The sequence below is a fragment of the Homo sapiens genome, chromosome 18, assembly GCF_000001405.40.
Source record: "Homo sapiens chromosome 18, GRCh38.p14 Primary Assembly".
NCBI lineage: Eukaryota > Metazoa > Chordata > Mammalia > Primates > Hominidae > Homo > Homo sapiens.
The window spans coordinates 46293963-46310100 of record NC_000018.10 but is presented as its reverse complement, the minus strand read 5'-3'; the positions used below and the strand labels follow the sequence as shown (position 1 = coordinate 46310100).

General features: G+C 46.7%; 1 annotated feature.

The window, feature by feature from the left end:
• Positions 15120–15621: an enhancer, noted in NCBI's record as "H3K4me1 hESC enhancer chr18:43874443-43874944 (GRCh37/hg19 assembly coordinates)". NCBI's record gives its function as "activates a minimal SCP1, AML or CMV promoter by ChIP-STARR-seq in naive H9 embryonic stem cells {active_cell/tissue: H9 hESC(naive)}" and the evidence as "EXISTENCE:reporter gene assay evidence [ECO:0000049][PMID:30033119]".

Sequence of the window (16138 nt, the reverse complement as noted above, 5' to 3'; positions counted from 1 at the left end):
CTCTGGGGTTTATTTCTGGCTTTTAGTTCTGTGCCTGTTCTGGATCCTGCAGTTTACTCCTTGTGCTCTGTGTGCACCCCCAATTCCATTCTTTGGAGTTAGTTCAAGGGTGGGGGGAAGTTCATCACTTCTATCTCATACCCCCAGGCGGCCTGGGGATGCTGATCGCAGCCTCCTGGCATTTTGCACAGTGTCAGATTCTTGCTAACTTGGTGCCCCCGCTGCACCTACTCTCAAAACCCTTTGCCTCCCATAGCACAAAAATGCCCAGAAATTCCTGTATGTGTATTCCCTAGCCATAGAAAATGGATATCGTAGAAAAACACTTCATAGCATGGAGAGATGTTCACTGTATGTTGCTGAGTGAAAGGGCAGGTTACAAAGCAGTACATTTAGGTGATCCAAGTTTTATTTTTAAAATATATGTATAGGCTGGGCACAGTGGCTAATGCTTGTAATCCCAGCACTTTGGGAGGGCGAGCGGGGAGATCACCTGAGGTCAGGAGTTTGAGACCGGCCTGGCCAACATGGAGACCAGCCTGGCCAACGTGGCAAAACCCCATCTCCACTAAAAATACAAAAACTACCAGGGCATGGTGGCACATCTATAGTCCCAGCTACTCAGGAGACTGAGGCACGAGAATTGCTTGAACCCGGGAGACAGAGGTTGCTGTGAGCCAAGATCGTGCCACTGCACTCCAGCCTGGGTGACAGAGCAAGACTCTGCCTCAAAAAAATAAACACATAAATAAAAATTTAAAAAAATAAAATACATCTACACACATATATATCTGAAAATAAGAAGCTACCATAGTGTTCATAGGGTTGAGTAATTACAGGAGAGTTTTAATTTTCTTTTTCTTGCATTGTAGCTTTTAAAAACACATTTTATATAGGTATTTGTTATCAGATTAAAAATGTTTCATAGGCACCCAAAACCTTAATTTTACCATGTTCACTTTCCTGCCCCCTAGAAAACACCAAAGGCTCCTTCTAGCCCACATGATAAAGTCAGTGAGAGACCTTTCATGCAGGAAGCATCTGGGTTAGTGATTTTTAACTATTTGGGAGCTGCAGACCTTTTAGAGAATCTGATTAAAATTGTGGGCCTCTCTCCAGAAAAATAGCATAGATGCAAAACGTATGTGATTTGGCAAGAGGTTCTTAGACTCCCATGAAATCTGTCCATGAACTTCAGGTTAAAAGCTTCTGATCCAAGTAAATCCCCAGGTTTTATGGATGAGGAAGCAGGCCAGGAAAGTCAAACCAATTTACCAAAGTTTCCAGCAGGCTAGTAGCATTTAGATTCCTTTAAGGCCTTCTAGAGTTTGGCTCCCACCAAACCCACCTCCCACTACTGCCCTACACAGACAAATTGGTCTCCACTCCACCAGTTTCATCTTCCCCAGGCTTTCCTCCAGCATTGCTCCTCATCCCTCTGCTAAATGCCCTTTCTTCTCCCCTCTACATTCCTAATCCTCCTCATCAGGATCAAGACTGGCCTCAGCTGCATATAACTGAATCCCTCCTCCCCCAGTAAAAGTGGCTCAAACATCCAATGGTATATTCTATAATATCTGGGTAGAGTAAGTCCAGGGGTGAGCAATCCAGGGCTGGTGTGGAAACTCCATAAAATTGTCAGGAACCCAGGCTGCTTCTGTCTTGTTGCTCTGGCATCCCCATACACCCACTCCATACCCCAAGTATGCCTTGCAGACCAAGATGTCTACTAGGAAGAAAAAGAAGGACAGAGAGAACAGCAATGAATGCATATCTCCCCTGTGAGCCACTTCTTTTGAAGGAAACTTCCTCAAAGTCACAGACACCACCTCTGCTGCATCTCATCCACAGAACCCAGGCTCATGTCCACATCCAACTATAAGGGAGGCTGGGAAACTCTTCTCAACTGAGCACAGGGTTCTGTTACTAGGGAAGGAGAGTGCAATGGATATTGGCTAGGCAACCTTCAGCCTTCACTATGCCATCTCTAAAGCTGTGTTCAAATCCCACTTCATTTATAAAGACTTGCCTGCTCATTCCCAACTGCTAGTAGTCTTAGCTTCCAATGAAACCTTCTAATTTGTGTCTAAGCTCTTTATTTTCAATTTCCCATACCCAGCTACTATTTAAATATTTTATTGCCATTTAAAGTGGCTTTCTCCTACAAGATATCAAAGTTTGTATAATGCAGGTAAAGTAGTGCTTTGAGGGAAGTTTATAACACTAAATGTTTTTATTAGAAAAAAGAAAGATCTCAAATAGTAAAATAAGCTTCCACCTTAATAAACTAGAAAAAGAAAAGTAAATTAACCCAAGGCAAGCAGAAGGAGAGGCATAAAGAACAGAAAAACAACAAACAAAATCAATGGAAACAAAGCTGGTTCTTTGAAAAAATTAATAGAACTTATAAACATCTAGCCAGACATACTAGCAGAGAGAGAGAGAGAGAGAGAGAGAGAGAAGACACAAATTACCAAGATGGGAATTGAAAGAGGAGACAGCACTACAGACTTCACAGACATTAAGAGGATAATAAGGGAATGTAGGTAATTTCTTACACAAACAACCAAATTTACTCAAAAAGAAGCAGATAACCTAAATAGTCATATATCCATTAAATAAATTGAATCCATGGTTTAGTACCTTTCAATAAAGATAACTCCAGGGCTTCCCATTCTGTCAAACATTTAAGGAAAAAATAATACCAATTCTACATAATATCTTCCAAAAATAAGAGGAAGAAATACTCTCCAACTCATTTTACCAGGCCAGAATTACCCTAATGACAAAACCAAAGACATTACAAGAAAAATAAATTAAAAACAAATATCTATCCCTCATGAACATAGATGCAAAAATCCTTAACAAAATGGAAAATCGAATTCAGCAATTAAAATTAAAAAGATAACGTACTAAGACCAAGTGAGTCTTATCCTAGAAATGTAAGACTGGTTCAGCATTTGAAAATCAATGTAATTCACTGTATTGACAAAGTAATAAAGAAAAACAATGCGATTATTTTATTAGATATAAAAAGGCATTTGACAAGATTCAGCATGCCTTCATAACAAAAACTCTCAGCATACTAGGTATGGAAGAAACTTCCTTAACTGGATAAAGAGCATCTGTAAAAACCCTACAGGCCGAGCGCAGTGGCTCAGGCCTGTAATCCCAGCACTTTGGGAGGTGAAGGCAGGCAGATCACGAGGTCAGGAGTTGGAGACCAGCCTGGCCAACAAGGTGAAACCCTGTCTCTACTAAAAATACAAAAATTAGCCAGGCATTGTGGTGCATGCCTGTAATCCCTGCTACTCAGGAGGCTGAGGCAGGAGAATCACTTGAACCCAGGAGGCAGAGGTTGCAGTGAGCAGAGATCGCACCATTGCACTCCAGCCTGGGCAATAGAGCGAGACTGTCTCAGAAAAACAAAAAACAAAAAACAAAAAAAAAACCCCTACACCTAACAGCATACTTAATGGTGACACACTAGACGCTTTCCTCCTAACATCAAGAATAAGAGAAGGGTGTCCTTTCTCACCCCTCTTATTCAACATTGCACTGGAATTTCTACTCAATACAATAGGCAAGGCAAAGAAATGAAAGGCACATAGATGGGAAATAAATAAATAAAATGGTCTCCACTCACAAATAACATGATTATCTCTGTGGGAAATCCTAAAGAATCTACAAAATGCTCCTAAAACTCAAAAGTAAGTTTAGCAAGGTTGCAGGATACAAGATAAACATACAAAAATCAATTGTAGGCTGAGCATCGTGGCTCATGCCTCTAATTGTAGCACTTTGGGAGGCTGAGGTAGGAGGATCACTTGAGGCCAGGATTTCAAGACCAGCCTGCGCAACATAGTGAGACGCCCCCTGCCGCCGCCTCTACAAAAAATGAAAATGAAAAATTAGCCAGGCATGATGGTGCATGCCTATAGTTCTAGCTACCTGGGAGGCTGAGGTGGGAAGATTACTTGGGCCCAGGAGTTCAAGAGTTCAAGGTTGCAGTGAGCTATGATCACACCAAGGCACTACAGCCTGGGTGATAAAATGAGACCCTCACTCTAAAATAAAATAAAATAAAAATCAATTGCATTTTATGTACCCCAGCTATGATATGAAAAACTACAATTCAAAAAAATTTTAAGGTACTATTTACTATAGCACCCAAAAATGAAATTCTTAAGTATAAATCTAATAATATATATGTAGGATCTGTCTGCTGAAAACTATAAAATACTACTGAAGGAAATCAAAGATAAGTGGATAGACACAGAGTATTCATGGGAAAAAAGACTCAATATTGTTAAAATGTCAGCTATCCCCAGATTGATCTATAGATCCAACACAATCTCTATTAAAACCCAGTGGGAGTTTTTTGTAGATATAAACAAGATGATTACTTTTTCCTCCTGAGGCAGGAGCATTGCTTGAACCCGGGAGGCGGAGGATGCAGTGAGCTGAGACCATGCCACTGTGCTTCAGCCTGGGTGACAGAGCCAGACTCCGTCTCAAAAATAAAATAAAATAAAGGACAGCACATGGAATTTTGGGGTGATGGAACTGTGTCGGGCCACTGGTGGTAAGTATATGACTGTATGCACTGGCCAAAACCCTTAAAACGATACACCACAAAGAGTAAATGCTTATATGTAAAAGTTTTTTAAATTAAATGTTTCCTTCTAGCCTTTCCCATTGTAAATTTCCTCAAAATGGAGACTGTAATTGACATTCTCTGAGCAGCCCAGCTCCAGAGCTCTAGCTTTGGGGAAAACAGGAGGTAATTTAGAAGAGCAAGGCTGGAAAATGGGTGGAGAAAGGAGGAAACCACTAGAAATGGAAATGCAAATCCCATCATTTCCCATCATTGCTAACTTTTCCTGCAGCCTTGGCACCAGGCATGGCCCAGGTTGAAATACGGGAGAAAACGGAATTTCCCTTTGGATGCCTTCTCTCTTTTCCTGTCTTTCCCTTCCAGGGACCTTCTGCCTCCATCAGGGAATCCATACAGGGGCCCCAGGTGCTTCTATCTCAGGGATTTTCATATTAAAAGATACTGCAGGATATGACAGATCTTATCTGCATCCATGAAGGAATTTTGGACCTTAGTTCAAAAGTGTGATGAGCATGATGAGTATGATGGGGAAAGGGGAGGGAGGAACACTGTGTAATACCCAAAATTCCACCCTAAATTTGAGGCATCGTTTCCGGCATTGCCTCCTGCCCCCATCCCCGGGGAGAGGAAGTGCTGTAATCAGGTCTAGGCATAAGCCAGTTTATTAGATCCTCTTAAAAGTAATAATAGGGGAGGTGGCCAGGCACAATGGCTCACGCCTGTAATCCCAACACTTTGGGAGGCCAAGGCAGTTAGATTGCTTGAGTTCAGGAGTTCGAGACCAGCCTAGCCAACATGGCAAAACCCTATCTCTACCAAAAATACAAAAATTAGCTGGGCATGGTGGCAAGCACCTGTAGTCCCAGTTATTTAGGAGGCTGAGGCGGGAGGATTGCTTGAGCCCAGGAGGCAGAGGTTGCAGTGGGCTGAGATTTTGCTACTGCACTCCAGCCTGGGTGACAGAGATCCTGTCTCAAAAAAAAAAAAAAAAAGAAAAAAGAAAGAAAGAAAGGGGAGGTTACAGGCCTCTGACTTCACCACCTTCCGCTGCTCCTTCCCCTGACCCCTGCTTTCATTTGGCTCCTGGGCAGACCTGCGGACCTACTTCCCACAGCTTCTCCAGTCCTGGGCCAGAGCCTGGCCAGATGCCCCTAAAACATAGTGGATTAGGCTCTTTCTCTGCCACACAAGAGCAATCCTCAGATCCTCAGCTGCTTAGACAGCTGCCCCCTCCCCACAGCTGGAGCAAGGTGTGAATCTGGGGCTCAGCACTCTGGGAGAGATGCTTGCAGGCCTGGAGCCCTACCTCCTCCCTGGGCAAGGCTGAAACCCGGGCCAGGAGGTGGGAGGTAGCGGGTGACCTCTGTTGCAACTGAATAATGCAATTCCAGAGAGAGTCCCTGGGAGGGACAGAGCATCCAGGGAGGGTGTCTTTAAAGGCCCCCCTGCCCACTGGGTTTGTTTTCCAGGGCTGCCGTAACAAATCACCACAAACTTGATGTTTAAAACAACAAAAAGTTATCCTCTCACAATTCTGGAAGACAGAAGTCCAGAATCAGGATGTCAGCAGGACTGGACTTCCTCCAAAGGATCTAGGAGAGAATCCTTCCCATCTCTTCCAGCTCGTGGTGGCTCCAGGCTTCCTTGGCTTGTGGCCACAGCACTCCAGTGCCTGCCTCCATCTTCCCCTGGCTTCTCTGTGCCCTGGGTTTTCTCTCCTCTTCTGTTTCCATAAAGACACTTGTCATTGGATTTAGGGACCACCTAGGTAATCCAGGATGACTCATCTCAAGATGCTTAATTTAATTACATCTGGAAAGACCCTTTTTTCAGATAAGGTCACATTCACAGGTTCTGAGGGCTAGGACATGTGCATGTCTTCTGGGGGGCCCTCATTCACCCCACTACACTCATCAACTCCCAGAGGCACCTCACACCCTCTCTGCCTTCATTTCCCATAGCTCCTCTGAGGCGGGTCACCTTTCCTCTCATTTTGCTGGGGAGAGGCCTGGTTTATACCTGTGCCTCACTGTAGTTATCAATAATGTCTCTTTTCACTCTCAGAAGTTGAAAGCAAATTCCACGGTGACCCTGTGCAAGGGTCAGACTCCTCCTAGCCACCTTCACAGGCAGTGTCTCACACCATCCTCCCTTTCCGGGAGTGGTAGCAAGGCAAGTCTTGCTCCATTTTGCAGCCGGAGATGCCGAGACTCCCAGGTTAAGGACCTGCTCAAGGTCATGTAGCTGGTGGCAGAGACATGACTGGAGGCTGGAAGGAAGGGCTCCTGACTTGGTGCGCTGTATGAAAGACACTTGCTCTCATGATGAGCACCCTTGAGCCAGCTGATGCCATCAGTCAGGGACCGCTGGAAAGACACCTGCAGCCAACCAGAGCTACATCTATTGATGCAGCTGTGACGGGGGAGACCACACCCCTGGGGAGCTATGGCGCATCCCGGTTGGAGGGTTGTGTTAGAAGGAAGTTGCAGGGTTTGTGTTTCTTTGGTGACTTTGGGAAGGGTTCGGAGAAGTGGGGATTTCCTCTCCACTGGTTGCAGTCAGGGAGCAGGAGAATTCTATGATCGAGGACATTAGAGTATCTTTAGGATTCTGACCTAGAAGCGGAGGAATGAAGCAGTGCTAACGCTGTATTGGGTAAAGAAGCCGTAGCCCCTCCCATCGGCTGGGGGAGGCAGATGTTGGTTTATTTCTGTGGTTCAGCTAGTATTCTTGTTTTTGTCTGTGCTCGTGTGGAGGGGTCTTATTTCTGTCGTGGTCTGTCACGGTCACAAAGCAGCCTTGTTTGACATTGTTGTTCTTTGTCATTGTTTCTGTTCAAGGAGGAGGGCCGGCCAGCTCAGCCTCTCAGAGGCTGCCTTTCTCTTTTGCAAACTTTTGTTAAGTTTCCTCTTAGTTTCAATTCAGGTTTGGTTTCCTTAGAGGGTGGGGATTGAAGAAGCTGAAAAAGCTAGTGGAAGTGCTCCCGGGGAGCTAAAGATGATGGGGTGGGATGGGAATGGGATGGGGCAGAGTGGGGCGGGGTGGGATGGGGTGCGATGGGGTTGAATGAATGGGAGGGGATGGGATGGGTCAGGACCGGACCTGAGGGAACAGGATGGGAATCACTCATGGACCATACTCAGGATCTCATGTACCCTCCCCATGCAGCTGTCTCACCTTCTACCCACTCCACAGAGAGTGGAGAACAAGGAACATGCTCCTTTGCCCGGTGCTGGTTGAAGGGGGGTCTGCAAGAGGTCTGGCGGGTGGACCTATTTCTGGTCAGCTGGGTAGTCCACCTCCATCTCAGGACGACTACAGACATTCTTCCCCGGATCATAGATCATTAGTGGGGGTCTCCCTCAACCCCTCCCTATCATCTCCTGGCATCTTCCAGGAGGAAGCCCCCAAGTCTAGCTGCAGAGATGATACACTGGGGCAAATATTAGGATGTATGTCCAAACGCCCTACTCCTGTGGTGGTCGAGGGGAAACCAAACTAATGGAATGCCTGGGCCAGCCTCATGGTGGGTGGAGCAGCTGGGAGGCAGCAGGGGAGAATGAAGACTTTTACTGGCCGACCGGGGCATGGTTTTCATTCTGCTCTCCTGGGCTGAGCAGCCGCCCTCCGGGGGACAGGGGATGGGGAGGCGTCCAACACCCCCTCTCCCTGGGCTTAGATCAGAGCACCTTTTCTTTATTGTTTTGCTGATGGCGGTTCTGCAGATACAACATCACACGTGAACATCCCTGGGTTTGAACATGAGCCCCACCTGCTCTCGCCCACAGGGCATTTGTCCTACAGCCCTCCAGGTGTACTGGAAGGTATCTGAGCACCTGGGACCAGCCCACCTGTCTCTTTCATTCCGCTGAGGAATGAGCTGAACAATTCCTGCCTGCATCTGACTCCAAGAAGAAATAAACCAATCAGGACACATGGAGACAGTTTCTCCCTGAACAGGGTTGACATCTCCTTGGCGGGGGGCCTGAAGGAGGTCAGGAGTTATAGTAAGAAGTGTCCCCCTCTGCTCAACAGCAACCCAGTCACTTCTTCAATGTCATCCTGTCCGCCATCTCCCCCACACACCTGCTGGCCAGGGTGAGTGAGCCCCACTTGCCACTTTGTGTGTGTGCGGCATCTCCTGCTGCTCCCCACTCCTAGTGAAAGTCCTTGTTCTGTCTGCAGGCTCCCTTGTGCCCTCCCCCTGGCCAAGCTACAGCCCCTGGAACGCGTGGAGAACAGCTCTTCTGTTTGCCAAGCCACACTCACCACCATCACCGCACTAGCAGATGGCACACACACTGGTGAGGCAGGGAGTTATTGTAAAGATACGAAAACCAAGGCACAGAGTAGAGAAAGTCCCATGGCATGGCTAGGGAGAAATGACAAAGTGCTATTTGGGTCCCTTAGTCATTCATTCATTCATTCATTCATTCATTCATTCATTCAACCTTTTGGTAGAGGCAGTGGGTAAGGACAAAAGATTTTAGGGTCAGGCAGACCTGGCTTCAAATTATCCCAAGATCACTGGCAGATACAACCAGTAATTACCCTCACTGAGCCTCAGTTTCCTCATTAGTAAAATGGGAATGACGAAGTTCTGGTTTCAGAGTGTTGTGAGGATTAAATGAGACAACAGATGCAGGGTACTGGCAATGTCCAATGCACAGTTAAGTGCACAATACATGAGGGATCTTATTTTTTTTAACTTTTATTTTGAAATAATTTCAAACAGAAAAGTTGCACTACTACTTTAGCATGTATTTCCTAAGAACAAGAATATTCTTCTGCATAACCAGTGTTTAATATACTATAAACATAATTTACATTTGTCACATTGATACAATTATTTTTTCCTAATCTGAAATCCATATTCCAGTTTTGTCAATTATCCCAATAATGTTCTTACTATACTGCAAAAAACAAGCCTCCTAAGAGATCAAGACTTGCTTTTGACTCTTTTTGTCTGCAGACTGAGGGTATGTGATCAAAGTACTGTGTTCAAAAATTACTTGGGGCTGGGTGCAATGGCTCATGCCTGTAATCCCAACCCTTTGGAAGGCCGAGGCAGGAGGATCGCTTGAGCCCAGGAGTTCAAGACCAGCCTGGACAACATGGTGAAACCTCATCTCTACAAAAAAAAAAAAAAGTTAGCTGGGGATGGTGGTGCACACCTGTAATCCCAACTACTTGGTAGGCTGAGGTAGGAGGATCACTTGAGCCTGGGAGGTGGAGGTTGCAGTGAGCCGAGATCATGCCACTGCACTCCAGCCTGGGTGATGGAGTGAGTGAGACCCTGTCTCAGAAACAAACAACAACAACAAAAAACAACAACAAAAAACCAAACAACAAAAAGAATTACTTGGTTTCCTTTTTTTCCCCTTTACTGTGGTTATTTTAGTCATTTGAAATACATTTGGATTCATTTGTTTCCATTTAAACTCAATTTTAGGGTTTGCCACATCCTTGTTGATTTACTATTCGTTTTTTAATATATATAATATTTATATAATCTAAAAATGGAAACTACTCAGAGAAGCATCACTGTCACAAACTCCTCTCCAGTCTTCGTCCCCCACCTCACCCTTCAAAGATAATCAATTTTATTTGTTTCTAGTTTGTCTTTCCTGTGCTTCTTTTTGGAAAACAAATTAGCTGACATATACAATTTTTCTTATTTCCTGTATTTCTTACATAAAAGACAATATGCTACATATTCTCTTTGCATTTTGCTGTTTTCACATAACATTTCCTGAAAATCACTCCGTATCTGTTCAGAGATCTTCCCCGGTCATTCTTATGGCTGGACAGCACCCCGCTGTGTGGCTGTCTCCTAGTTTATTCAACTCATCTCTTATGCTCTGACATTTAGGTAATTTCCTATATTTTTGCCATTACAAATAATGCTGCCGTGAGCATGTGTACTTACGTATTTTCATACTGTTGAGATGTGTCTTCAGGGTAAATTCCTAGAAGGGGGTTACTGAGTGGAAAGGTAAATGTCTATGTAGTTTTCTCAGATGTCGACAAATTATTTTTCATGGGATTTTGCCATTTTTCATTTCCACCAGCAATGAATGTCTAAGAGGACCTGTCTCCCCACCGCTCTCAGCAGCGTGGATTGTCAAGCGATTGCATTTCTGCCTATCTGATGAGTGACTTTTAATTAGCATTTCTCTTAATATGAGTGAAGCTGAACATCTTCTTCTTTGTTTAAGGGCTATTTTTGTATCTTTTATGTGTGTGAATTGTCTGTTCCTATCTTTTTACATTTTCTTATAGGATTTTAAGTCTGTTTTCCTTCAGTTTGTCCATATTCTTCACTTGTTAGGGACAGCTCATTTTATTATTACTGTGTATTGCGTGCCTTCTCTGTGCCAGGTGCCATACTGGGTACTAGGAGTCCTGGGTCTGGGACAGCCATAGTTTAGAAAGAAAGATAAACTATGACACCACTACCTCAGGGTTGTAATAGGGGCATGAAAAAGGTGGGAGGGAATTCTCTGCCTGATAGAATTCAGGAAGGCTTCATGGAGGAGGTGACCTGTAGAAAGCTAACTATCAAAACTACAAAACATGGAAAGGCAAATAGACCCAGTGGGGAAAGGCCAGAGCCCCGCTCCATGACTCTCTCCAGCACCTTTGACACCCAGGCTTGGAACTGAGCTCAGACTCTCCCACCTAGACCTCCTCCAGGGTCACCCCAGTATCCTTCCCTGGAGTCCCAGCTCTGCCTGGTGTGTGGTCCACCAAGGTCTGCCAGCTGCCGCAGCAACTCTCACTTACCCACGTGGGTGAGGACCCAACTTCTCAGCTGTTTCAGGCACAACTGGCCTCACTATCTTGTTTGTGGGTCTGAAGACGTGCGTGCACACACGCATGCCTGTGTGTCCAAGAGAAGAGTGAGAGAGTACATAGAGGCTCATACCCAGGAGAAATGTAATCCATTACCAAGAGGTCCTGTTTCCTCCACGTGCCTGAAATCCGTGGGTTTGTAGCTAAAATTAGCCTTCACCTTCTCTCTGCGACCTGGGACTTTTACTATCCCAGTCTGGGAGGATCCACATCCCTGTCTCCCCCATTTTTCCCCCCAGGAAAGAATCCAGGAATGGGTTCATGGACTGGCCAGTCTGTGAGGGATCAAGCTGTCAAAGGCCTGGCCTGCAGTGCTCAGGGAGGGCTTCTGAGCAGGCAGCGGGTCTGAAGTAGACTGGGAAAATTGAGGGGGATTCAGAGAAGCTGAAGAGGCAGTGAAGAGTGTGAGCAACACAGGAAGACATGAGTCCTGCACCCGGCACAGTGTGCACATCCAAAAAAAGTCAACAGCATTTGTAGGATGAATGGGTAGATGGGTGGATGGATGGAGGAGTCCAGCAACTATGGAGGCCTAAGCAGGGACAGACTCAACAGGGGTAATGATGTGTGCAGGTACAAGCCTGGGAATGCTGAGTATTAGGGCAGGTAAACAGCTGAGATAACCAGGCCCTAGATGCAGAGAGGCTTGAACACAGTAGAAATCTATTTCTCCTGTCCGAGTCCAAGGCACAGTCCAAGTCCCGTCAGGGGGCAGCTGTCTTCCTTGTGATGATTCAGGCACCCAAGCTCATTCTCTTCTGTGGTTCCACCAACCCTGGCCTAAGGCCTTGTGGTCTGCAACTGTGCAGTGGAAAGAAAACTTAGAGGAGGCACACCCACTTCTTAAAAGCCCCAGCCTGGGGTGGGGAGGGGGCGGGATTAGAGAGATGTCTATCAAAGGATATGAAATTTCAGTTAGGAGGAGAAATACATTCAAGAGAGCTATTGTACAACAGGGTGACTATAGTTAATAAAATGCTGGACACTTGAAAATGGCTAAGGAAGTAAATTTTAAGTGTTCTCACCACATACACAAAAATGATAAGTGCATGTGGTAATACATATATTAATAAGTGTGATTTAGCCATTCCACAATGTTTACATATTTCAAAACATCATGCTGTATAGCATAAATATATGCAATTTTTATTTGTCAATAAGTAAATAAATAAAACCCAGCCCACAAATTCCCACCAGGGACACACATCATTTCCACTCATGCTCCTGGAGGTGGTGGCCACTCCTCCACGTACTTGGGGCCCTGAGCCCTTTTCTCTTTAATGGGTCCTGCCAAGTGACAGGCCTCAGGCCCCTCCCCTGCTGACCATGGCTTCTATAAACCTGAGCCTGCTCTCTTGGGTCCTCCAAGAGGTTTGCTGGCCTGCACCTCCATATTTCCTGGTGACAAAAACTGCAACCTTGGGCTTTCTTCACTGGGTAAATTTGGGCCCTAACCACCCCTTCCCTCATGGCTATGTGTACACAGGTGCTTGCCTGTGCATGCACACACACACACACACACACACACACACAAACACACACATGGGAACTGGCTGGCTCAGGAGGAGACTCCAGCCTGCCCACCACACTTGCCCCTAGAGGAGCCTCCTCCACAGGGCATGAAGAACAATGCCCAGCTCCAGGTTCAGACTCATGCCCCTTTCAAAGGTACTCAGAGAGACCAATCAAAGGAGTGTACGCAGGAGGTCTCGCATGCCCTCTTGCAGATGAAGGGGTCCAAACCAGCTACCCCTGCTTCCAGAGTGCACAGCACTCCTGCCCAGCCTGCTCAGCCTCTGGCTTGGTGCTTCTGGCTTCTGGTGCTCGCCTCCTTCAGGAAGCCTCCTGGATTGGCAGTCTCTGACCACAACCCACCATGCAAGACCTCAGTGAGGGCTCACTTATTTGGTTCATGCTTGCTTTGTGAAACGTTCTGGAGTCATTTAGTCTATGGGGCTCCTCTTCTTCATTGGAGAGTAACTCTCCAGTGCAGAGTGTGTGTAATTCTCCATCCTCTTTTTTTCTTTTTCTAGTTCAGGTATCACCCTGGAATCGTCTCGTACCTTCACATGGTCAAATTCTGACTCTCTCTGATTCCACTTGCAGGTGGCCTTGATACAGGGGCAGTGCGGCCACTGTAATGGCATGGGATCAGCTCAGACACACCTGTCCCTTCCTATGCACAGAGGGACTTCTTTTCTTTGTTTCTACCACGTTTTAAAGAGAACATTCTATCAGTCCTTTGCCCTTTGCCCTGCAAGCCATGAAACAGCCTTCAGGAAAAAGAAACACACACACACACACACACACACACACACACACACACACACACACACACACACGTCTGCTTTTAAAAAATGCCTAACTAAGACCTGGTGTGGTATGGCTCATGCCTATAGTCCGAGAGATTTGGTAGGCCGAGGCAGGAGAATCACTTGAGGCCAGGAGTTTGAGACCAACCTGGGCGACACAGCGAGACCCCCAACTCTACAAAAATATAAAATATTAGCTGAATGTGGTGGCGCACGCCTGTCCCAGCAACTCCAGAAGCTGAGGCGGGAGGATCACTTGAGCCCAGGAATTTGAGGCTGCATTGAGTTGTGATTGTGTTACTACACTCCAGCCTGGACGACAGAGTGAGAGACCCTATCTCAAAACAAACAAACAAAAAACACTGACCAAAACAATTTTCCATTTTTGAAAATCGTATAGGCTTTATTTTATGTGAAAAAAATATATATATATGTTAAATAAATCCAAATTTTATTCCCAGAGGAAACATTCAGAAGTGGCTTAAAGAGTTTGCTTGCTTTCATTTTTCTTCCTTTTTCCTCTCCCTCTCTCTCTCACTCCCTCTCTCTCTTTGTTCTCTGATTTCTTGTTGACCCCACTCCCTACTCTCTTCCTGTCTGCTCCATGGGGCACCTTGCTAACAGACTTCATGTTTTTATACATGCACATCCTCGTTTGGGGCACATTTATTTTAATTAATGTAAATGGGTTGTGTTGTGCATCTCACGCTGACTTTCTTCTCTCGGCTCTGTTTTAAGCTCCTCCATTTGGCCGTGCGTACATCAAATCTGTTACTTCTGACTGCTGTGTGTGGGGAGGAAGGAACACTGGCTTTGGCATCAGATGGATCCGAGGATAGAACAGGGAGGCTGGTGTCCAGGACACGGGATGTGTGAGGACCTGGGGGTTGAGTTAACTCAGAGGGCAGCACCAGAGGCCTTCAACACTAGAGCCCCTTCTGCCCTGCTCCAGCAGGGCCTTCCTCCTTGGTCACATTTATAAAATGCATGCTGTGGTTCTCATGTGTCCAGCCAGGGGCTGCCCAGTAGCCTGGCTGGATCAATTTCAGAGGGATTTGTTTGTTGGGGGTGGTGGCCGCGGCAAACACAGCAGAGAGTGTGGGACCTCCAGTAGCATTTCAGGGTACAGGAGGGAGTGATGGTAGGGACAGGAGGGATAATATGGAGTGACAGTTCATCTCATCAGCCCAGTTGGGCTCTGGGGACCCTGACTCTAAAGTGCTCTCATCCCTAATCCCTGGCGCAGGGAGGCAAGAGTGTTGGGAATAGGTGGGGTTAGATCTTCATTTCTGTCCCCTTCCTGCAAGCTCCCAGGACCAGGAAACAGAAAACCCCCAGACAAGGGCTGGAGACCTCAGGTTTGGGGCAGGAAGGGTCTGGCACACGGTCCATGCTCAAACACCGGAGTGGGTCCTCAGGCCTGCAGCCAGCCTGGCAGGATGGGCAGACGAGAAGGCTCCCCCTCAGTCCCCACCACCAAGGGCGCAACAGAAATCTGGTGACAGGGTTCTGAGTTCAAGTGCTGACTCTGCCTTTCTTGGCTCCAGGAGTGGGGGGTGGGGGGCGGTTGGCTCCCAGGGGAAGGGGACAGGGAGTGGATGGGCCTCAGAGGCTCTTGTGGCTGAGACTCCCTGGCAATCATCTCTCCTTTGCTGTTTGGTCATGCTTCCCTAGCCCCAGGGACCCAAGGGGTACCCCTGGGACTGCTGTGTGTGTGGCAGGGATGATGCCAAGCTCCCAGTCTCTTTCCAGTCTGAGCACTTGAGTAAGGAACATTTGAAGAAAGGGCTCTGGTGCCAGTTGCAAAATCACTACAAGGTATTGCCCCATCTTAAATGCGACACTTAATGGGTGTGGTTGACTGAGCCCTTTTCCCCTGCATGGAGGGCGCTTTCGTAGTGTGAGTGCCTGCACACCTTGGGGATCAGGGCTGCCAAAAAAGAGGGAAGAGGGGATTCTGGGGAGTCTGTGAATGTGCCTCCTTCACAGCCCTGCCAAACCCACCCCCAGCCCCCCAGCATCCTTCTCTGGTTCCAGGCTTCCCACCTGTTCATGCTGAAAAGGAATGCCTGTCTGTATGGCTCTCCCCTCACTGAGAACAGCCCCCAGAAGAGACAGAGCGCGGGTGACACTAGAGACTCTCCGGTTCCCCAAACCAGTTTCCCCAGCTTCAGACAAAGGAGGGTGGTCCCAGCTCCAGCCTGAAAGGAGATCTGGCTGGGCTGGATTTCCGGAGGAGCCTCTAGCCATTGGCATCTCGCCTGTGAAGGAGGGAGAAGAGTCTGCAGCTCGCTTGAGCCCCAGAGCAGAGAATATTCCTTCCCCTTCACCCTTGTCTGATGTCACCATTGGA